This window comes from Homo sapiens, chromosome 20 (assembly GCF_000001405.40).
Source record: "Homo sapiens chromosome 20, GRCh38.p14 Primary Assembly".
In the NCBI taxonomy this organism is placed as follows: Eukaryota; Metazoa; Chordata; class Mammalia; order Primates; family Hominidae; genus Homo; species Homo sapiens.
The window spans coordinates 23,439,651-23,461,699 of record NC_000020.11 but is presented as its reverse complement, the minus strand read 5'-3'; the positions used below and the strand labels follow the sequence as shown (position 1 = coordinate 23,461,699).

Here is a 22,049-nt window from a genome sequence, read left to right as displayed (position 1 = left end):
CCTCAAAAACTCAATAGTAAAAAAACAAACACACCAATTAATAAATGGACAAAAGACATGAATACTTTACCAAAGATAAACACATAGTAAATACACTTATAAAAAGATCATTAGTTATTAGCGAATAGGCTCCATGTCATCAGTCCTTGGACAAATGCTGATTAAAACCATGATGAGATACCACACAGCTAAAATAAAAAATAGTGATAACAACAAATGCTGGTGAGGATGAAGATAAAAACTGGTTCTCTCATTCACTGCCAGTCAGAATGCAAAATGGTGTAATCACTATAGGCATGTTTTGCAATTTCTTACATAGGCATACCTCAGAGACATTGGGGGTTTCATTTTAGAGCACCACAATAAAGTGAATATTGCAATAAAGTGAGTCACACATTTTTTGGGGGGTTTCCCAGTGCATATAAAAGTTGTGTTTATGCTATATCATAGTCTATTAAGTGTGGAATCATGTATAAAAAACAATATATATACCTTAATTAAAAATGATTTACTGCTAAAAATGCTAACAATCTGTGCCTTCAGTGAGTCATAATCCTTTTGCTGATGGAGGGTCTTGCCTTGATGTTGATGGTTGCTGACTGATCAGACTGGTGGTTGCTGAAGGTTGGGTTGGCTGTGGCAATTTCTGAAAATAAGACAACAATAAAGTTTATGTCTGGCTGGCCAGGGTGACTGCACCTTTAAAGACAAACTATCAATTTGCATTGCCACGGTGAAGTTTTAACATCTCACCAGGAATTTCCTTGTGGGCAGAATATGGGGGAGGCGAGTAGCTTTTCATCTTGTAGTCTTCTTACTTAGGAACCAAAAGGTGGAGGCAGGTTTGCATGACCCAGTTCCCAGCTTGACTTTTCCCTTTGGCTAAATGAGCTTGGGGCCCCAAAATTTAATTTCCTTTCACAGGGTGTATCTGACTGTTTCCCTAACCCATTTTGTCTGTGTTATCTTAAGTAAAATGAGGATTCCCGACATTTTTTGTGTGCCTTTTGTTTATGTGAAAACTGCGGGCTTCTCAATATCCCACACTTTTCCCTTTAAATTTTGAACCCCCAAAATCATCTTCAGAGAAAGGCACCTGTCTCCCAGGTGCGTCCTTAACTTTGGCAAATAAATCTCCAAAAATGATTGAGACTTGTCTCGCCATTTTCCTCAATTGACATCCCCATGATTACAAAATTTATGAATTAAAAAGTGAAAGATAACTATTCAACAAATGGGGTGGGTAAAACTAGATAGCCAACTGCAAAATAAATAGATAAATAAATACATAGTTCAATCCCCAAGGCATTCCTTCCACCAACACAAATTCCAGATGGGATCAACAAATACAAAGGATACTTCTGAATGCTCATCTGGCAGCCAGGACAGCCACCCCATGACCCTCTGGATTCTACTGAGGCTTACAAGAGAACCCTGGTTGAATGTGGAGAGGGAGCCGGACTTCCTGTTGGTGAGGGCATTTGGGAAGCTCAGCTGTTAGGCAGTCACCATTTGCCTTCTGAGCTGTGAAGCAGGATCCCATTATATTTGTTCCCAGAACGGTATAAATGCATTTTAGGTGCTTATAAAGGACTTGGGGAGGCCAGCAGGGTTTGTGGAAAAGGCATTCTCATCTAATGTTGGCAGAAGTACAAGCTGGGGAAGTATAAACAGAAGTGATGCTATAAACACTTAGTTGTCTTGTGAGTTTGTTCCTTATTTGCTAAACCACTGGGAACCAGTTGAAGACCTCACAGCAGTGGTATAAAACTAGCTGTATTGTGCAGGGAGAGGCCAGAGTGAACAGTGCAGGAATGGTCAGGATATTACAGGAGTCTGGATGGAGTCAGTGAAGAGTGGGCTGGAAGGCAGCTGTGGAAATGCAGTCTACAGGGAAAAGGATTTTATTCATTCAATCATCCATGTGTTCATGCCTTCACTCATCCAACATGTTTTTGAGCAATGACTTTGTGTCAGGCCCTGGAGATACAGTTGTGAATAAAACTAAATCCTGCGCCATGCCAGTGGTTTTTGACAGGTGTTCTGAAGAATGACCCAATGGGACCATATGACTGGGTACAAAGAATGAGTCAGAGGAGAGAACCAAAGTTTAACATTTGGGCAAGTGCGTGCATGTGTGTGTGTGTGTGTGTGAACATTGTCAGTGGTTCATTCAACATCAGGAACTGCACTACTTGTCAGAAATACAGAAAATAACAAATGATAATAACAACAACAATAATAATTGAACATTTTTTTAAAAACCATTATAAGCTCTTTGCCTGGATTATCTCATTTCATTAGCATGAATGAGAACTATTTTATACCCATTTTGCAGGTGAGAAGACTGAGGCACGTTGAATGTAAGTAATTTGCCCACAGCCACCCAGCTGGTCAATGGTGGAGCCAGATGTGAGTCCAGCCAGTCTGACTTTGTTGTCCCAAGGGATTCAAAGTGAGGTTCCAGAGGCAGAGCTGAAGAGCAGTGGAAGGAGAACAGCTTGCATGTTTTGATAGAAGTGTGGCCAGATAGCAGTGGCATCCGTGTTAGCCTGGGCAGAAGGTGGGCCAGGCAATCAGAAGGCGCTTCCTGGAGGAGATTGTTCTTCAGCAGAGTCCAGGAATATGAGCAGCTGTTAACAAAAGGAAGAGAAGGACAAGAGTGCTCAGCAGAGGGGAATCCCCTACCAAGACAGAGCTACAGCACGTATGCTGGAGACTTTGAAGGAGGGAATTTGGCTGCCCCAGGAAGCTCATGATCTTAGACTCCTATAAACCTACATCTCTTAAATGTTGGCCCCTCTTTAATGGAGAGAAGAGGCCAAATGGTCTAGGGAAGGTGAGGAAAAGGAGTCTCTGGCTAAGAGCTCGGCCTCTCCTCTGAGGCCCAGCAATTCCAACTCCTCTGGCCCCAGACCCACAAAACAAAACCCATCTTAACCAAAGTCCCAAAGGAAACTGGGTCCACCTCCAATGGTTCAGGGGCCTTCCTTCCCGGGAACAGTACTGATAAATGTGCCTTTCTCATCCTCACCGTAATTCAGTGATATTTGCTGGTTCTCCTGGGAGACTGGCACCCTCCTGATTAATTGCCCATTCAATCCTCTCTGAGTCCAGAGAGCTGCATTCGTTCAATTTGGCCAGGAGAACAGTTTTCATGAGACATGAAAGCTGAGGAAACAACAGCAAGCGAGAATCAGCATGCAAGGAGACACATCCACCTGAGCTACGGGGAATAATGAAGAAGATTTAGCAGGGCAGGAACATTCATTGATTGCAATCTGAAAACTTACAAAGCCACTGGAGTTTAAGAGTGCATGGAAAATTTTAGAAACTGGCACATTCCTCAGCATGTTCATCTATGTGAGATGACAGTTTGGTGGCCAGATAGCATCTTCCAGCAGAGCAACTCCATGCCTGTGGCTGCAGGAACTTTGGGCAAATATATACAAACTGCAGTCTGAGTGTTCTATACCAGGTTGAGAGGAAGTCTTTCTGACAGCTGGAAGTGGCAGTCCATTCTATTTTTAATTTTAGCATCTTAACCAACTCTTGGTAGGATGTGGAAAGTCAGAAAGATTTTTTTTTGGAATATAAACATGCTACAATATTGCATCTGTGGATGGATGTCTCCTAGCAATTAATCCATGGACCCATAGATCCATGTTACCCAGAAGAAGCCATAGGGGATGGAGTGTGGAACTGAGACATGACTGGAGGACTTGTGGGACTTGGTGGCTGACTCTGGGCCTCCCAAGAGACAAAATAGGGTACCCCAGAGAGGCGATGGAAGGAAGTCAAGACAATGAGCCTTTCTTTGGCTGGAGGAGATTCAGTTTACAGTGGGACTTTCAAAGGAATTTGCAGCAAACAGGTAGCAATATAAAATCACACTTCAAAAAGGGAACTTGGAATGAAGTTAACTATATGGGAGTCACCTCTACGGGAGCATTGAATGTGACCAAATTGTTAGTAACTGAGACTGTAGAAGAGGGGTTCTTAAAATAGCATCAAGGCTGGTGCAAGTACAATGGTATTTACAACTTATTGATCACAAACAGTTACAGATTCCTTTGTTCTTTCTCCACCCCCACTGCTTCACTTGACTAGCCTTTAAAAAAATTTATATATATATATATACACACATATATATACATACATACATATTATCCCATGCCAAGGGATTGGATTCAGCGGCCTGTAACCTCCCTAAAGTCATATGCAACATTTTATGTAAATGTTACTGAATGTTAAATGGAATTTTTTATTAGGACAAGTTTCAAAATCAGGTGCCAGAGAAGAACGTAAAATTTTTCATAGCGGATACAGAAGCCACCTGAATTGCTCACCCATGTTGAGAAAATGAAATGTCCAGGAGTCGGGAACAGAGGAAGTTCTGAGGGAGGTGATCTACCTGACCCTCGCCCAAGCTAGTGGTGACTGACTTCCTGCTTTTCTGGCCAGGCAGCCAAGAAGCGGCTGGGTTGAGATGGTCCAGAGCAGAGAAGGAACTGAGGTGGTAGGGATGTCAACAGGGCTCCACATACCTCAGCCAAAAGAACCAGAGCAGTCCTGGCCGAGACAAGAGCAACCGGCAGCCGGAAGGGAGAGCCTCTGTGCTGCCATGACAGGCAGAATAACACCCCACCCGAGATGTCCGCATCCTAACCCCAGAACCTGTGAACTTGTTACCTTGTGGGCAAAAGTGACTTTGCAGATGTGATTAAGTTAAGGATCTTAGGATGGTGAGATTATCTGAAGGGGCCCCATGTAATTAATCACGTCCTTAGAAGAGGGAGATGGAGAGTCAGAGAAGGAGACATGCTGGGGAGAACCAGAGGCCAGAGAGTAGAGAGACTGAAGAGACTCCATGCTGGCTTTGATGATGCAGGAAGGGGCCAGAAGCCAAGCAATGCTGGCAGCTGAAAAAAATAGGTTCTCCCTTAGGCCATCCAGAGGGAATGCGACCCTGCCAGTACCTTGATTGTAGGGCTGGTAACCTCCAAAATTGCAAGATAATAAAAGGGTGTTGCTTTAAACCACTGTTGTTAGTAACTAGTTACAGCAGCCACAGGAAATGAGCACAGCTGCCAGGGGAGCTGCAGGGGAGGGGCTGCTAGCGATGGAGGCTGGGCAGAGGCAGGAAGGGACCCCAGAACAGCCAGTTTTAAAATTCTGCCAAGGCTTGGGAGCACAGCAGCTGCAGCCAAGTAGGAATTTTCCAGTCCTCTACATCTTCCTTCTCTGCTCGTTCTGACACAGAGGGGCCCTAAAAACCATGGCTGGTGAGATGGAAGAGGCAGAGGAGATGTGGTGTGCATAGGGAAAAAGAGAAAGAAGCAAGCACTCCTCCCCAAATGCAAGCCTCCAGGAGGGAGAAGCGCAACTTTAAAGCACGTTCAAAGTTTTGACCATCTCCAAAAACTAGCATTTCAATAACTGGATTGAGACTGTGTATATTGCCTGGGAGTCACTTGAAAAGTCACAGAGGACAAATAGCATGGCTGAGTCCATGCAAAGGAACAGTAGGAAGTGAGGACAAAGCCACACCATGATGACACTTGCAAGTGAAGCCTGTTCCCCATAAGGGGCACATTCTCTGTTTTCAGGGGAGTGGGCCACAGCTTCCATCAGCTTCTCAAAGGGGATTCTTGTATCTGCTGAGGTAAAGAATTATGAACATAGAGGAAGAGGTCAAGATTTGGGCTTGGAGAAGAGTTTGTATTCCAGCCTGCAGGGGAGTGGGGAGGGAATAACAAGAAGAAAAAGCAGAGGGGAAAAAAGACAAGATCAAGAGGGCTGGAGGATGTGGTGTTCTTCACACTGCTCACCTCCCCATGCAGGGCCAGGAGGGCAAGTGGGCGACAGGAAGAGAACCCACGGGCCACTGACGAGATCAACCAAGAGGTAATGCTGCCAGTGCAACCCTGTGGAAGATCGACCACCTGCGCCTCCTGGCCCGGCTTCTTTGGTGCCGCCCTCTTGCCTTGCTACCTGGGGCCTGAGGGAACTGGCAAGGCATGTTTGCACTGACACAAGTGAAGGCCCATGGGCTGCCCACTGAGGTCGGAGATGAACATTGCCAGTTCTGCACAGCTGCAAAGCACACATGGGAGGGGATCCACAGTCAGACCCCACAGACATTGACAGGAGGGATTCTTTGTGAGCCCCACCACCCTGCCCCACCACGTGCTAGATGCTTACATATACTATTCCTAGTGTTACAGCAATTCTGCCGGAGACATGTAGTAAATATGTCTATTCCATGAACAACCTAAATCAGACAATAAAAAACAAAATTTCATAAATACTGTTCAGACAATTGCACAATAATCCCACTACATATTAAGCACTTACTATGAGTCAGATTCTGTTTCAATTAGTAGTAGTATGTGGCCAGCCATGAGAATTAGAGACCAAAACTATGGTGGTTTAAGCACACAAGAGTTGAAAATAAACTCTTATTTATATAAACAAGAAAATAAACTTTACTATACAAGAGTTGGGATGGCAATATAGGGCTGGCACTCCAAAAAGTGGCAAGGGCACAAGGCACCACAATCCTTTCGTCTTTTTCTCTCCCATCCTCAGAGCTGGCTTCTGTTCTCCAGATTACTTCATGTTCCAATAGAGCTGCTGGAGCTCCAGCCATCATGTCCTCATTCCCAATGGCAGATAAGGCAAAAATGACTCTTTGTAACTGAGTCAGCAATTTACAGAGTAAATTCCTCTATGTCTCAAACAACAATTTCACTTAGATCTTGGTCATGAGACTACCCCCACTGCAAGGAAGGCTGGGAAATGCAGTCTTTATTGCAGGCAGTCCCATACTCAAACAAAAATGCAGCTCTGTTACTGAGGAAAATAAAATGAGCAGTCTCTGCCCATAGGCTCTTAATTATAATGTAAGAGTAACCCAATGAAAAGAGCATTGATATCCCACTTACAGCCGCTCAGGGAGCTCAGGGCAGAGGCCAAGCAGACCTCACACTAGGCCCAACTGATGCCCAGCTTCTCACCTTTTTCTGCTTTGCCTTTGTGCCACCAGACAAATTGAGGCCGTCCTGGAAGCACAGACAGGAGGTGGAGACAGAGCCCTTCCACAGTGTTCGCTCTGTGGTGATGCCAAACCCTCCATCAAGAGGGCATGGAGGATGTGCGCTCCACTGTACTCCAAGGAGTGAACCCTGAGGTCCATGAGTTTTGGGAGTGTGTGTGTGTGCAGGTATGTATGTCTGTGTGTGTACTGTGTCTGTGTGTTTTAGCGTGAGTGTGGGTATGTATGCGTGGGGGGGTGTGTCTATGTGTGTTGTGTGTGTGTTTCAGTGTGAGTGTGGGTGTGTACATGTAGGTGTGTGTGTATGTTGTGTGTCTGTGTGTTTCAGTGTGAGTGTGGGTGTGTAATGTAGGTGTGTGTATCTGTGTGTTGTGTGTCTGTGTGTTTCAATGTGAGTGTGGGCATGTACGTGTAGGTGTGTGTTGTGTGTCTATATGTTTCAGTGTGAGTGTCATTGTGTATGTGTAGATGTGTGTGTAGTATGTGTGTTTCAGTGTGAGTGTGGTTGTGTACATGTAGGTGCGTGTGTCTCTGTGTGTTGTGTGTGTGTTTCAGTGTGTATGTGTGCATGTGTGGCGGTATGTGTGTGTGTTGTGCATCTGTGTTTTTCACTGTGAATGTGGATGTATACATGTAGGTGTGTGTGTCTGTATATTTCAGTGTGAGTGTGGATAGGTATGTGTCTCTGTGTGTTGTGTGTCTGTGTTTCAGTGTGAGTGTGACTGTGTGTGTAGGTATGTGTATGTGTTGTGTGTCCGTGTGTTCGGGTGTGAATGTGGCTATGCAGCAAGTGTGTCTGTGAGGGAAGGCTGAGCAGGGGTGTCAGGAAAGAGGCCCTGGCTTCCTGGTTCCTGGCATCCCCTGGAGGCACATGAGGAAGCCTCGAAACAGGCGTTGGGTGTGCCCAGGGCTCCTCCCCGGGTTCCCACACAGGAGCCATCACTGCACATTTTTATATCGCATCTTCCCAAAAGACACCATAACAGGCCTTCTAGGAATCGAACATAACCGCACTAAGCCTGCATTCTGTGTGCCGTGGGACACAAGCTCCAGCCTCCACCCACCAGTGGCTTCTTCCTTCTCTAACTGGCAGCCAAGTCTGGGGACTCCCATCAGGTCCCCAGGATGGGACCTTTAGGAGACCAGAATGTCCAACCAGAAAGCTCCCTGTGTCTCACACCTGAAGCTTCCTCGCCACTGCCTCCTCCTCCAAAACATGCAAGTCCAGCGGAGGCCACTCTAGGACTTGTCGGTACTGGGGAATCGTCGGTGTCAGAGTTGACTCTCCCTCCCTTCACACCTTTCTGTAGGGTGCCTCTGCTCCTTTGTCCTCTAAGGGAGGGGATTTTCCAGAACTCGTCTCCAGGAACCAGGCTGGGGGAGAGTGGCTTCCGGTGCAGGCGGCCCCTCCCCACAGTGCCCACCCCCCACTGCTCACCTATGAATGCGCCAGTCCTGGCATCCAATCTCCCCGTGTCTCCAGCAGCTACCATCCTCCAGGACTCCCAGGGGCCCTCGCCTGGCTCCCACCAAGACAATGCTGGGTCCACAGAAGCCTGTGTGTTGCTGAGGGAGCAGCCCCTCAAAAGAGAAAATGTGTGTGTTATCCTGTGTGTGTGTGGCATGAACTTATGCAAAAACCATTGCACAGTCTCTTGCTGCTCTCCCCTCGAGTTCAGCTGCTGATGAAGGGGGAGGAGGAGGAGAGGAGAGCTGTGGGTGTCCACCACCAGCTGCTCTTAAATCCTGCCAGGGCAGGTAGGGTCAGTGTGATTCGACTTGTCCCTGAGGAGTACAGAGAACACTCTTCCTGTTCCTCTGCAGCTGAAGGATGATGGCTGAGCCCTGGCAGGCCCTACAGCTCCTGTTGGCCATTCTATTGACTCTGATGGCCCTCCCCTACCAAGCAAGGAAGAAAACCTTTCTAAGCGTCCATGAAGTGATGGCAGTAGAAAACTATGCGAAGGACAGCTTGCAGTGGATCACCGACCAGTATAACAAGGAAAGTGATGACAAGTACCACTTCAGGATCTTCCGAGTCCTTAAAGTCCAGAGGCAGGTGAGTGTATGACTTCCCGCCTCTCCCCAGGCCTGATACGCCCACATCGGGTGGCCACTGGTGTCAGGAATAGTCCCACTCAAGGGAAATTCAACCTTGCTTAGCTTGATGTGAGCACTTTAAGAGAAGCATAAATTCACTAGGGTGATGAAATTAAGGCACTTAAACAAAACCCAGGACCAGGGATCCTCAGCACATTACATCCCAAGGGCCAAAACTGCCTGCCGCCCACTTTTGTAAGTCGTGTTCTTGTGACCTAGCCATGAGCATGCCTGTGCTTTGTCTGCCACTGCTTGCTGCTGCCACACTCATGCCGAACTGAGTAGTTACAGAGACCACATGGCCAATAAAACGTAAGATGTTTACTATGTAGCCCTTTACGGAAAAAGTTTACAGACCCCTATCCAGAATCACTAGCGTCACTTGCATTACCCAAGGGATAGATTTGCCCAGGGGGAAAGTTCATGTTTCTGATGGTTTCTGGTTAATTCTCTTGGAATGACAAAAACAATCATGAGTCAAATAGAGGAGAGAGGAGCCCGCTAATCCGCCTAGGACCAGCTCCTTGCCCTTGGACGTGGGGTAGCGGAGCCCCCAGGCACAGAAACCGCAGACAGGGGAGAAGGGGACAAGCTGTGCCTCCCCCACGCCTGGCGCCCACAGGTCACTGACCACCTGGAGTATCACCTGAATGTGGAAATGCAGTGGACCACCTGCCAAAAGCCAGAGACCACGAACTGTGTCCCCCAGGAAAGGGAGCTTCACAAGGTATTGGGTAAAAGCACTTTAACGTAGACAGAAGTCCTTTTCAGTGAGGTTTTTCTGTGGCTTTAGAATGAGTTGGGAAGAATTAATTGGAATTTACTCAAGCTGGCTTGAAAAGAATGCATGGGTAACACCTCCTTCCTCAGAGAGGGAAAGCAAAGGTGGAGACAGCCGAGATGCTGCTCCTTTGTTGCTGGAAGGAGTGTGAGGAGGCTGAACATGTCCAGAGAGAGGAGTTGAGGTGGCCGAGCTGCAGGGGCACACTCTGGGGCGAGGGAAGCAGACAATTCCTAATATTTAAGCAGCCTGTGGGAGGGACCTGTCAGGTGCGCTGACTGAATACCTCAGAGTCAACATGACAAGGCCGCGCAAGTGCTGGGCTCCTGTCCTCTCTCATTTCATCCAGCCATGTTCATCCAGGGGGAGGAGGAGGTGAGGAAACAAGTTCAGAAATGATTTGACTGGTGGGTGAGGGTGGATGAGGGGCACAAACTTGCATGCGTGTGCTCTGCTGGGAAGCCACCACCCCCGAAGGCAGCTCCAGCTCCAACAGGCCTTCATCCCACCTGGCACTGGCCCATCTGTGGGAGATGGTGCAATGGACAGATGGATGAAGAAATGAAGCAAGGCTGCATGCACTGAGGGAGAGGAAGCAAAGTCAGGAAGTAAAGATGGATGGGTGGATGGAAGGAGGGATAAATGGAAGAATGAATGGAGATGGATGAGGGATGAATGGAAGGATGGATGAATGGGTTGATGGGTCGACAGATGGGTAAATGGATGGATGGGGGATGGACTGAAGGATAAATGGATGGACAAATGGATGGATGGACATATGGGTAGATGAATGGAGGGATAAATAGATGGTTGGAAGAATGGGTGGATGAATAAATGGAGCCAAGAGAGGACAAATAAGGGAAGAAGTGAAGTTTAAAAAAATGAGTAAAAATGAAGAGGGAAAAAAGAATCAGCAGTACCCATGGTGAATATGGGCTGCGCAGACACTTTATTTCTAAATATCTTGTTTGATATTTATTTTGATTTCAGCCGCTTGATAGTAACATTGCTGGGATCATTCCAGAAAATGTCCTTCTGTTTGTGGTCAAATAGGATTGTAGGGGTGGAGAGGTGGTAGCCTTTTCTCCATCTTCGTGTCTTACATCCTCTTCCTTCTCCTTTTAAATTTCACCTGGCGTCTTTTAAAATATTGCCTTTGTTTTTTGTTTTAGCAAGTCAACTGCTTCTTCTCAGTGTTTGCTGTACCCTGGTTTGAACAGTACAAAATTTTGAACAAAAGCTGCAGCAGTGACTAGGTGTCCTGGAGTGTACAACTGCGGCCACTGCATGTGAGAGAATCCTGCAATGGGCAATAATCCTTAATATAGGCAATAAATGTTTGTCAACATATTCTCTTAAGATCGTGATTCCACTTTTTTTCTTTTTCTTTTTATCCAAATTCTTCAGCTCATAGTAATAATCTGAAAGTCTGCTGGGCCAGGGCAGTTTGGGGGTCCAAATGAGGTGACCTACATTATTCCTGACCTTATCACCTATGCCTTCATGGTAGCAGAACTTCAATTTCATTCTCATATCAGGCAAGATTTTAAGATTCTTTAGATTTTAAAATAGTATGGAGAAACTGAGAAGCAGAATAAGGAGAGGGAAGAAGCTCAAAGCAACTGAACAGCCAAGAGACATTTGCAAGTATGGCCTGTGATGGCACGTCTGAGGGGCCCAATGAAGATCACCCTCTCTCCTTACCTAAAGTGTGAAATAAGAAGAAATCACCAAAGAACTAAGAAAGACAAGGCCTTTGCTACTGATATGATAACCAGGTTGAGAGATGTGCCTTATTTTTGCAAGCAAGTGCACTTTCTAATTGCAAACTCCAGAATTAGACTTCTGCCCCCTTGCACGAGCAACACTGGACCAAACCAGGTCTGTCTATAAATAAATTCCTCTCCTAGAGGAGCAAAGGGACATATGTGCCCCCCGTGAAGGAGGCAGACCTGGTGACAATGCCCAGTTCATTCTTCCCAAACAGACCAGTCAGATTAATCCCAGCAGGAGAGGAAGTCCTGAGGACAGGGAGAAGCCAGGAGTCCTCTGTTCAAGGGGCTTTCTTTCCACAGAAGGCACAGCAGCCACGGGAGGAAGCATCCCCCAACTCCGCAGCCTGATTCAAGGTCTCAGATGATGTCACCGGGCTTACCCCACTCCACTTCCTCCTCCATGTGGTTGCAGGGAGGCTGCCAGCAGCTCAATGGGTTAGGTGTGTCCTCCTTCACATCCAGTAAGAAAGGGAGGAAGATCTTGTTCCCAAGAGCTCAAGCAAAAGCCTTGGGTTTAATACAACAGGTGAGGTCTAGGGACACCATAGCAAACACACACACATATACACACACACATACACACACACACATACACACGGCATTACAGCATTCATTTCCCTGCGGGGAGAGGGAGTTGGGGTATTTATCCAACAGTTCAGTTCCCATCAGTATTGGCTCTTAGGGGGCATGAATTCCCTAGTACCTCTGGCCTGAGGCAGCTCCAGGGCAGAGTAAGCGGCAGAGACGGTGCACAAATAAAAGGGCACAGGGAAGTCAAGCTGGCATGCACAGAAAGTGTGAGATTTGAGAGACTATAGGCAGAGCACCAACAGGAGAGCTCCTGCATGTGTGAACTGTGAGCTGAGATGCACGTCAGCAACACCAGTTCTCACCAAGATGGGATTGGCTTTGAAAGAACAAATAATTTATTTTTGGCTTTTACTCTCCCTGTTGAAGTGCTGGAATGCCCAGAACCCTGTTTCAGCGGGGCCCAGGTGGGGTTTCCCTCCGCCAACTGCCTGGGATGATGCTAACCTACAATGTCTTCATCTTTAACTGAGAATAACAGTACCTACTCCTTGAGGCAGTTGTAAAGATTGATGATGATAATGCATATAAATTGCTTAACACAGTGCCTAACACGAAGCAGGCATTCAAATAAATATTAACCATTAGGAAGAATGCTGGCAGTGGCAGTGGTAGTAATTTAATACCAGTCAACAGTCAACACTTTTCTGACATTTTTTGCTATGGTGTCCCCAAGGCAGGCATTACTATTTTTGGGGAGATTAAAAAGAGAAGGTGGAACATTTATGCCCATTAATCTCTTGGATTTCTCAGCCAACGTTGTGGGGGCTTTCTTTGAAGTTTTTTAAAAAATTAGTATATATTTCCAGGAAGTTACAAAGGTAGTAGAGAGAAGTCCTCTGTGTCCTTCCTCTAGTTTCCCCTAATGGTTACATCTTATCACATCACAGAAAAATATCACAATTAGGAAGCCAACATTGGTACTGTGTGTGTGCCATTTAGTCACACGTGTACATTCGTGTAACCAGCACCATGCTCAAGACACAGCACTGCTCCATCGCCGGAGAGCTCTGCTGTGCTGCCTCCCTGTACTCAGCCAGGGCCTGGGTGCCCACTCCTGTCTCAATGCTGGCTCAGGCCCACCATTCCTGTTTGCTAGTTATGAAAGCAAGGTGAGCGGGTGGGGTGGGAGAGTTCACTTTAAAAAATTCAAAGTAATGCCATAAAGTTTGGTAAAACATTATAAAAAGAATAGAGTGTCAATATGAAATTGTGTTTAAAGAGATAGAAATACACATTGGGTAGAGTGTGCACTGCTCAGGTGAGAGGTGTGCCAAAATCTCAGAAATCACCACAGAAGATGTTATCTATGTAACCAAACAGCACCTGTTCCCAAAAACCCATTGAAATAAAATAATAATAACAATAATAATAATAAGAGATGACTCTAAAGTTGGAAAGCAAAAAAAAGATAGAAATAGTACAATTAGACCATATAAATAAAAGATGTTCAAAAAGTAAGAACTTAGAGGTTGAACAAGATTTAAATCGATAAGTAAGTAACATTAGAAAAACAAATTAGGTAAAAAACAAACAATGTTTAAAAGTCTTGAGCAAAAAATAGCTAAAGGCTAAACATAAGCACATCCTATTACCAACTAACTCTTAGGCATATATCCAATAGAAACACATGTATGTGGCCAGGCACGGTGGCTCATGCCTGTAATCCCAGCACTTTGGGAGGCCGAGGCGGGTGGATCGCCTGAGGTCAGGTGTTTGAGACCAGCCTGGCCAACATGGTGAAACCCCATCTCTACTAAAAATACAAAAACATTTAGCTGGGCATGGTGGCAGGCACCTGTAATCCCAGCTACTTGGGAGGCTGAGGCAGGAGAATCACTTGAACCTGGGAGGCAGAGCCAAGATCGTGCCACTGCACTGCGGCCTGGGCAACAAGAGTGGAACTCTGTCTCACAAAAAAAAAAAAAAAAGAAAAAGAAAAGAAAAGAAGTACATGTAATGTGTCCAGCATTAGACAGGCACACTCACGCTTGTTAATAGCTATTGTTCTTAGAAGCTGAAAACGACCCAAAAGTACATTATCAGTACAATAGATAAATTGTGGTATATTTACACAAAGCAATTCTATACAATAAAGAAAGTGAACTATAACTACACACGACCACACGGATGTATTGAATTCAAGAAGCCAGAAACAAAAGAATATATATTGTATGACTCCATTTCTAAAAATGCAACCAACAAGCTGTGTTAAGTTAGGATGTTAGAATCTGGACAGAGGCTGCCTTTGGAGGCTCTTCATCTATAAAGTGGAGAAAAAGTTGCCATTTCGTAGGGTGGTCATGATGATCAAATAGGATAATGTGGGCAGCAGGCCAGTGCTGGTCACCCAGTCAGCCCTCAATTAGCTTAGATTTGCAGGACTGGGTGCTTTCTGGCCTTTTTGTTTTTGTGACGTTTGTGGGGAGGTTGTTTTTGTGGGGTTTTTTGCGCAGGAATTCCACCTCCTTTAACTCTCTTCCTCCATCCTCTCTTCTCCCTCAGGCCTTGCTGTCAAGTTTGAGGTTCTTGCTCTATGTTTATTCTTCCCCTTTAGCAATACTCCCTCAAGTTGCCATTATGACCAGCTGGTGGCGCTGGTGCCTGGGAAGAGGCTGAATGGTCAAGTGGTACAATAGGCACACTGTCAGCCATTGTCTGTGGCTATTAGACCATTTCTGGTCTAACATGCACCTTCTCTAATCGACTGTCAGCCAGAGAAGAGGAGAAAACACAGGTCTTATTTAAGCAGCCATCAGAACATGGGAGGCTCAATGACTCAGTGTGCAGAAATGAGTTCGCACGGCCCGCCTGAACTGCTGTCCTTAGAAAGGCTGCTTGCAGGCTGGGCGCAGTGGCTCACGCTTGTCATCCCAGCACTTTGGGAGGCGGAGGCGGGTGGATCACCAGGTCAGGAGATCAAGACTATCCTGGCCAACATGGTGAAACCCTGTCTCTACTAAAAATACAAAAAAATTAGCTGGGCGTGGCAGTGCACGCCTGTAGTCCCAGCTACTAGGGAGGCTGAGGCAGAAGAATTGGTTGAACCTGGGAGGCGGAGACTGCAGTGAGCCAAGATCGTGCCACGGCACTCCAGCCTGGCGACAGAGCGAGACTTCGTCTCAAAAAAAAGAAAAAAAAAAAAGAAAGAAAGGCTGCTTGCAAGGCTGGCCTTGGATGGAGTTTGAGAACTTGGAGGGTCAACAGTTCCCTACACTGATAGAAAACTTTTCCTGCATGAGAAGAGGGCCTCAGTGTGTTTACATTCTCTGTACAGCAGTGAGGTTGACATTGAACCCCTGCTATCCTCTGGGAGTCTGGAATTTTGGCACGTGCCAGGCAGAGACTACCTTCATGACCAGTCCCCGGTAAAAACCCTGGCTGCTGGGTCTTAAGGAGCTTCCTTGTGACACATACTGCCACAGCTCACTTCTGGGGGAATTGAGCGTGCTCTGTGTGACGGCACCGAGAGAGAACTCTGGAAGCTCCTGGCTGGTTTTCTCCTGACCTAGCGCCATGCACCTTTTGCCTTTGCTGGTTTTGCCCTGTGTCCCATTGCTGTCATATCACAGCCATGAGAATGACTCTAGGCTAAGTCCTGTGAGTCCTCTAGTGAGTCACTCAATGTGAATTTGGTATTGGGAATCTCAGACACACTCACAAAAATGTGTGTGAGTCACAGTGTTGTGTGTGTGCTGGGAAGAAATAGGGCTCCCCACACTAGGGTCAGAGCTCAGGGACATGCTAAATTCAGAAAAGCCATAGAGATGTGGGGTGGCGTAGAAAGAATGATGAGGTTTCCCCAATGATTATGAACATTCTGTTCTAATTGCATCAGCTGGGTGGGTGCGGTAGCTCACGCCTATAATCCCAACACTTTGGGAGACTGAGGCAGGAGGATTACTTGAGCCCAGGAGTCCATGACCAGCCTAGGCAAGAAAGGGAGATATTGTCTCCACAAAAAAAGTGTTTTAAAAAATTAGCTGGACAAAGCGGTGTGCACCTGTAATCTCAGCTACTTGGGAGGCTAAGGTGAAAGAATCACTTGAGCCCGGGGAAGTCAAGGCTTCAGTGAGCTCCACTTTAGCGGAGGCTTCAGTGATTGCGCCACTTCTCTCCAGCCTGGGCAACAGAGCAAGACTGTGTCTCAAAAAAAAAAAAAAAAAAGAAAGAAAGAAAGGAAAAGAAAGAAAAGATTGCACCAACCCCTGAAGACCACTGAATGTGTGTGCGAGTGAGTGTGCATGTGCTTGACATGTAGGAGTGAGTGGGTGGGCGGGTGGATGAGTGTGTGAGGCTGTTAAAGTGAATGTGCATGTATGTGAGTGGTGAGAGTGTGAGGGTGTCGTGAGTATGAGCATTGTGTGTGTGGGTTGTGAAGGTAAGTATGTGCAAGTGTGTGTACGTGTACACTCTGTGTGTGCATGTGTGTGTGTGCATGTGTAATAAGACCCCAATGAGGGAGACATGATCCTTTACAGTTTAATAACAGCCAGTGCACAACTCAATCATATGAGCCCTCATCTGAGGTTTCTGCCCACATGCTCGGCCTCCAGACAGGAATTGTTCCAGAGCTGGAAATAGTTTATCCAGGGCATGGTGTATATCAAAGACTCGCAAATTAAACTCTGTAGAAGAAGAAAGAAAACAGACTTTGGGGGAAGTATTTTTCAAAGGCAAGCAACAGGCACCTGTTCCCCAGGTCTCTCCCTGTGGCTGCTCATGAACCCCATGGGCAGAGAGGGGAGCTGCCCACAGTCAAGGGTAGAAACAGAAAGGAGTGCCAGTCTGGAACAGGAATGTCACCCTGTCTTCCCCCTACCCAGCCACTTGGGACCCACAGCAGGTGAACCTGGAGTCTATGGCCTGGCCGGACCCTGTCATGTGGGCCAGGCAGGCCAGCAAGGAGCAATAGCATCGTTACCTCCTCCTGCACCTCCCCAGGCATGGGGGAGCCCCTTGTATCTGCCAGCTTTCAAGGGGTGCCACTCATGGACCAGGAAAAATAGAAGGGAACAAGGAGGAAATTGGACAACCTTAGAGACCTGGAGAGGGAGAAAGAAGACAGAAGAAGGACCCCAAGGAAAGGGAACCACTGCTTTCACGCAGAGGGTCTGGGGAGCAGGCCAGGTTGGAGAAGGGTCCAGGCAACCAGAGGCCTGGGTGCAGGGCTGTACCAGCCCAAATATAAAGCCTCCCTCCTTCACCCAGGTGCCTCAGGAGGTGCCAGACAGCCCCAGGGCTGGGCCCCAGCTGGCCCCAATCCACACAAGTGGCAAAACTGCCAACTTCTAGCTGTTGCTTTTTAAAATATTCACTTCACAAGTCCCTTTGGGATGACTTCCACTACACACCTTTCTCAGCTTCTTGCTTTGCAGGGGGCAGGAAGAATTGCTCGTGTCATTCCTCTTGCATTTGGTCCAGCCAATCTTCACAGTGACTATATACTCCACTCCCGTCGTCAGCTGCCGAGAATCAGTTGTGCTGTTAGTGTGGACTCCAAGCATCCAGTGGCTGACCCTCTCCTGGAGAAGCTAGGACTGAGAGTAAAGCTCCCAGGGCCACAGTTCTTGTTCGCGGAGCTTACCCACCAAAAGCATGGCTCCCTTCTCCTTACTTCTGGCTGGAGGGAGGGCAATGGCAGCCAAAGCCCCTGGTCATAGGTTGGTTTTGCTGCAGCAGCCACAGAAAGCTTCTCACCTGCCTCTGTTCCATCCTCAGGACAGAAGAGGCAACATCAAGCTGGGTTGCCTGGCCACCACAGGCCACTCCCAGGCTGGCAGATGTGGCCTTCAAAATGCAACAGAGCCAGCATCTTGTCCCCACCCCCCCAGTCCCTTCTGCCATTTCCTCTGTCTCTACTATCCTTCCTGACCAACCTAGTGGAAGGCAGCTTAGCAATACAGTTAAAAACAGTTTTGGAATCGAATTGATTTGGGGCATGCATTTTCCATTTAGTGACTGTGACCTTGAGCAAGTTACTTAGCATCCTCAGCTTTTTCACTTACAAACTACAAACCACAATTGTGCCTGCTTCTGGAGTTGTTATGTGGGCTAAATGGAAGCTTGCATTTCCCTGAATGCATAAAATAAATTTTAAATATTTTCATAATTATAAGTTATTACATCTTTTAGCAAAGTGTCTGCAGTGTTACTTTGAAGCAGATTCAGTGTTAGGAGAGTGACAGAACACAAAATCTGGCTTTACCCCCTGCAGACTCTGTAAATTTTACTGAATCTCAGTTTCCTCATCTAGGAAATGAGGAGAATAATGCCAGTTTCCTCCTAGCGTGTACAGAAATGAAGGAAGGAGGCATGGTGGGTACACGAGCCATGGAGAACGCATGCCAGGGATTTCCCCATGGCTCTTTCACTTGTGATCAAGTGTGAGGCCATGAAGCCTGCAGGGGTTGGAGCCTGGAAAAGCCCTTGTGGGCAGGGAGGCCCTACGCCCAGAAGGGAGACTAACAGAGAGCTTGGGGGTTACGGTTCCCTGTCGGGTTCTGAGCTGGATTCCTGAGTAGATATGTGGATTAGTGGATCTTCACCGGTGCAGGAGAAGCTCTGGGAAGCTCCCTGTTGCCTTGCCCTGTCACTGGTCAAGCCCAGTGAGAGGGCTTGGTCATCTCTGGGGTGGTGACTGAGGCAGAGAGTGCCCACACTGCTCCTGGGAGGAAGACACCCTTAGCAAACACTGGGACAGGGCAGCAGGGAGCCTAGACCTGAGGGCAGTACCAGCCTCCCCGCACCCAAACATGTGGGGGCCATCCATGCATGGGCATTTGCAGGGCTGCCCCAGGCACGGTCACACTGACTTTCAGCATGCTCAGAATGTAAGAAAAAACTAAACCACCCGTCATCACTGTAACTGACATTCCAGTGTGCAAAGTGTTATTCGTTATTAGACTTATTTGTTCGATAATGACAGGAGTAGTCATAATAACAGCAAAGATTTTTTATAAGTGCTACCAGATGTTGGCACTGTGCTAAGTGCTTCCCTCCTATTCTGAGGCACTTTGCAGGTGAAGAAACTGAGGTCTGGAGAGTCTGGATGTCACTTGACCAGGAGCCTCAGTTGGGAGGAGCTGGGCGTGAAGCCCCCAGAGGCACCTGGCAGCCCTCCACGCCTGCTCTTGTCCCCTCTGTGAGGTGTAAGGACAGACACAATGGTCATATGGGTGTGGGGGTGCCCAGAGGCCCATGCCAAGATCACCCAGCTACCAGGAGGCACGCCTGCTCTGTCTGCTTATCAATGTGAATGACATCAAATGCTCATCATTATTCCTTAACAGCTAACTTAATGGTGATGGATTGATTTCACAAGGCAAGCCTCCTTGGGGTCTTAACCAATTGTGGAAGAACCAAGAACCAAATGGGCAACATCGCCATCTTGTGGTAGAAGTGCCTCACTGAGCCAGCCTGTGGGACAGTCTGCATTGGGATGAGGATTTGACCTATGCTGACTGGTCCTCCCCACGCTGCCCTCCCGCCTTGCCGGTTCTCTCTGTTCCAGCTGCCTTACTCTCTGGCGAGAGAGCTTTCCCATAGCCAGTTGTGTTTTCCCAAATCTAGCTAATTGAACTAGGACGTAGCATTGTTGCTGCCCCAACTTCTACAGTCAGCCCTCTGTACTTACGAGCTCCATATCTGTGGATGCAAACAACCGTGCATCAAAATATTCAGGAAAAAAAAATGTATGGTTGCCTGTATACTGAACATTTTTTCTTGTAATTATTCCCTAAACAGTACAGTATAATAATTATCTACATAGCATTTACACTGTACCACTTATTATAATTAATCTAGAAATGATTTACCATATGTGGGAAGATGTGCATAGGTTATGTGGAAACACTATTCCATTTTACATAAAAGACTTCAGAATCCATGGATGTGGGCATCCTGAGGGGTCCTGGAACCAATTCCTCATGGACACCAAGGGGACTGTATAGTTTATTATCTGACCTTGAGGAAATGTTGTACCAATAAAAGGGGTTCCCTAACAACTTTTCTTTCTTCTATTATCCTTCAATTGATATATTTCAGAGAAATTTTATATGTAAAACAGAAGGTGAGGTGATCTGGCTGAACCCTATCTCTCACATCCTCTCCACTTCCAGAATAAACCCTCTGTATAATTTGAAGTTTGTATAACACAGAACACCCAGTTTTGAATTTTACAACCCTACACATTGAAAAAATATTGGGGGCTACAGGCCTACAGAGAATATTTGTATTTTGCCAAATGAGAACTTTAAAGGGAGCAAAATTATCCTTGCTGTCACTCCGGCAGGGTCAAATATCAGAATGAAAGGCATTTCTTCCCAAGGAAAAAGAGCTGGCCGGGCGTGGTATCTCACGCCTGTAACTCCGGCACTTTGGGAGGCCGAGGTGGGCAGATCACCTGAGGTCAGGAGTTCGAGACCAGCTTGGCTAACATGGTGAAAACCGGTTTCTACTAAAAATACAAAAAATTTAGCCAGGTGTGGTGGTACGTACCTGTAATCTCAGCTACTTGGGAGGCTGAGGCAGGAGAATCACTTGAACCTGGGAGGAGGAGGTTGCAGTGAGCCAAGATCATGCCATTGCACTCCAGCGTGGGCAACAAGAGCGAAACTCCATCTCAAAAAAAAAAAAAAAAAGAGTTTAATCCTCAGTGAACACTTTTGCCTCTAAGTGTATTGGAGTTAGAGTTCATGCCAGTCCTTAGGAAAGCATTTTGGAAGCATGGCTAAGGACATTCTGGGATCTGAACAACTCTACAATGTACCTGCTACAAGTGAAGATGCTTCCCCCTTGGGACCTCACGGAGGACCACCACTTGGTTCTCTTGGGAGCTACCCCAGAATCCTCACATGTCTGAACTGGCAAGAACAGGGCCTGCTGATGTCTTGGGAGAGCAAGGTACAAACCTGCATCTGACTTCGAATTAGCCTCTGGACTCGATATAAGTAGGTGTCGTTGCTGGCATTGTTGTAGGATTGAATGAAGAAGTTGAGTGTTGAATTCATGTTCTTCTTGCTCATGAGCTTCTGCTGGAAGCCCTCCCACCTTTGGAAGTGACCCAGCTTGGCTGACAGGACCAGGGCAATCAGCAGCAGCAGGGGGTTTCTCCAGCATCCGATCCCCATGTCTACAGCCTCAGAAACTTTCTTCCCAACTGCACCTTCCAGGGTGTGGTGGTGCCAGGCTGCAGTTCACTCATTCTCCCATCATAACCCTCACCAACATAGGCTTTCCTGGGGGATGGCCTGCCTGCATTTAAACAGAGATTCAGACCTGAACCTTGTCACTCAGTTTCCAGCCAGTTCATTTTCTACCCATTTACACCACCCATTCAGTTCTTTGGTGATCCAGGCAAGCAAAATTTTTAAACACCTGCTAAGGCGTGCAAGCCCCTCTCCCTGCCTTCACATGTCTCAGGGAAGAAAAGCCCCAGAACAGCCCCTACAGTGCTCTGCAATAAGAGCTGGGGTTGTAGATAGAGAAGCATCACTTACAGGAAGGGAGGCGGCCTTACGGAGAAGGTAATATCTGAACTGAGATATAAGGAAGCAGTCATATGGAGCAAGGAGTGGTACATTATTCTTACCTTCCTTGGGTTCCAACTGTCTTACAAAGCCACCACCTGTTCCCTGTGCTTCCTTTACAGACACGTTCTCCTTGCTCACCTGCCGCCCGCCCACCACAGATTTCTGCTTGCAGGATCCCCCTATACCTGCAGGCCCTGCACTGGCTTTTGCTATCT

General features: G+C 46.9%; 2 protein-coding genes across 9 annotated transcripts, besides 4 other annotated features; one reads left to right on the top strand and one right to left on the bottom strand.

Annotated features, from left to right (window-relative positions):
- Positions 1-490: 490 nt before the first annotated feature.
- On the bottom strand, positions 491-22,030 carry CSTL1 (cystatin like 1). 7 transcript variants are annotated; one of them, NR_170941.1, is made up of 8 exons: positions 21,894-22,030; positions 21,214-21,556; positions 20,801-20,923; positions 17,656-17,766; positions 6,205-6,274; positions 3,035-3,171; positions 2,328-2,633; positions 491-646 (listed from the first exon to the last, which is right to left on the bottom strand). NR_170941.1 is itself a non-coding variant. In XM_047439889.1 (6 exons), the coding sequence occupies exons 2-6, from the start codon at positions 21,430-21,432 to the stop codon at positions 604-606; spliced, it is 816 nt and encodes a 271-aa protein (XP_047295845.1). In that variant the 5' UTR covers positions 21,433-21,556; positions 21,894-22,030; the 3' UTR covers positions 491-603. The 7 variants fall into 7 exon arrangements, 2 of the variants coding, with proteins under 2 accessions (XP_047295845.1, NP_612140.1); NR_170940.1 differs by lacking the exon at positions 6,205-6,274 and having other exon boundaries at positions 20,801-20,848; NR_170939.1 differs by lacking the exons at positions 6,205-6,274; positions 21,214-21,556 and adding an exon at positions 8,496-8,638.
- On the top strand, positions 8,824-11,288 carry CST11 (cystatin 11). Of its 2 annotated transcripts, NM_130794.2 has the most exons (3): positions 8,824-9,116; positions 9,780-9,884; positions 11,111-11,288. In NM_130794.2, exons 1-3 carry the CDS (start codon positions 8,889-8,891, stop codon positions 11,192-11,194), a joined length of 417 nt encoding a protein of 138 aa, NP_570612.1. In that variant the 5' UTR covers positions 8,824-8,888; the 3' UTR covers positions 11,195-11,288. The 2 variants fall into 2 exon arrangements, with proteins under 2 accessions (NP_570612.1, NP_543020.2); NM_080830.3 differs by lacking the exon at positions 9,780-9,884.
- Positions 14,808-14,907: a silencer, noted in NCBI's record as "silent region_12732". NCBI's record gives its function as "represses an Ori minimal core promoter by ATAC-STARR-seq in GM12878 lymphoblastoid cells {active_cell/tissue: GM12878}" and the evidence as "EXISTENCE:reporter gene assay evidence [ECO:0000049][PMID:35858748]".
- Positions 14,928-14,987: a silencer, noted in NCBI's record as "silent region_12731". NCBI's record gives its function as "represses an Ori minimal core promoter by ATAC-STARR-seq in GM12878 lymphoblastoid cells {active_cell/tissue: GM12878}" and the evidence as "EXISTENCE:reporter gene assay evidence [ECO:0000049][PMID:35858748]".
- Positions 18,695-19,274: an enhancer, noted in NCBI's record as "H3K4me1 hESC enhancer chr20:23423063-23423642 (GRCh37/hg19 assembly coordinates)". NCBI's record gives its function as "activates a minimal SCP1, AML or CMV promoter by ChIP-STARR-seq in naive H9 embryonic stem cells {active_cell/tissue: H9 hESC(naive)}" and the evidence as "EXISTENCE:reporter gene assay evidence [ECO:0000049][PMID:30033119]".
- Positions 19,677-19,776: an enhancer, noted in NCBI's record as "active region_17641". NCBI's record gives its function as "activates an Ori minimal core promoter by ATAC-STARR-seq in GM12878 lymphoblastoid cells {active_cell/tissue: GM12878}" and the evidence as "EXISTENCE:reporter gene assay evidence [ECO:0000049][PMID:35858748]".
- Positions 22,031-22,049: the final 19 nt, after the last annotated feature.

Bases quoted from the DNA above. Each gene is read 5' to 3' on its own strand.
- CST11 (NM_130794.2), top strand. From the start codon at position 8,889: ATGATGGCTGAGCCCTGGCAGGCCCTACAGCTCCTGTTGGCCATTCTA. The intron at 9,117-9,779 runs GTGAGTGTATGA...TGGCGCCCACAG, and splicing joins TCCTTAAAGTCCAGAGGCAG to GTCACTGACCACCTGGAGTA. The intron at 9,885-11,110 runs GTATTGGGTAAA...TTTTTGTTTTAG, and splicing joins AGGAAAGGGAGCTTCACAAG to CAAGTCAACTGCTTCTTCTC.
- CSTL1 (XM_047439889.1), bottom strand. From the start codon at position 21,432: ATGGGGATCGGATGCTGGAGAAACCCCCTGCTGCTGCTGATTGCCCTG. The intron at 3,172-17,655 runs GTGTGTAGTGGA...TTGTTTCCTCAG, and splicing joins AAAGCAAGAAGCTGAGAAAG to CTTTCATGTCTCATGAAAAC. The intron at 2,634-3,034 runs GTGAGGATGAGA...TTTTGTTAACAG, and splicing joins GCAAATATCACTGAATTACG to CTGCTCATATTCCTGGACTC.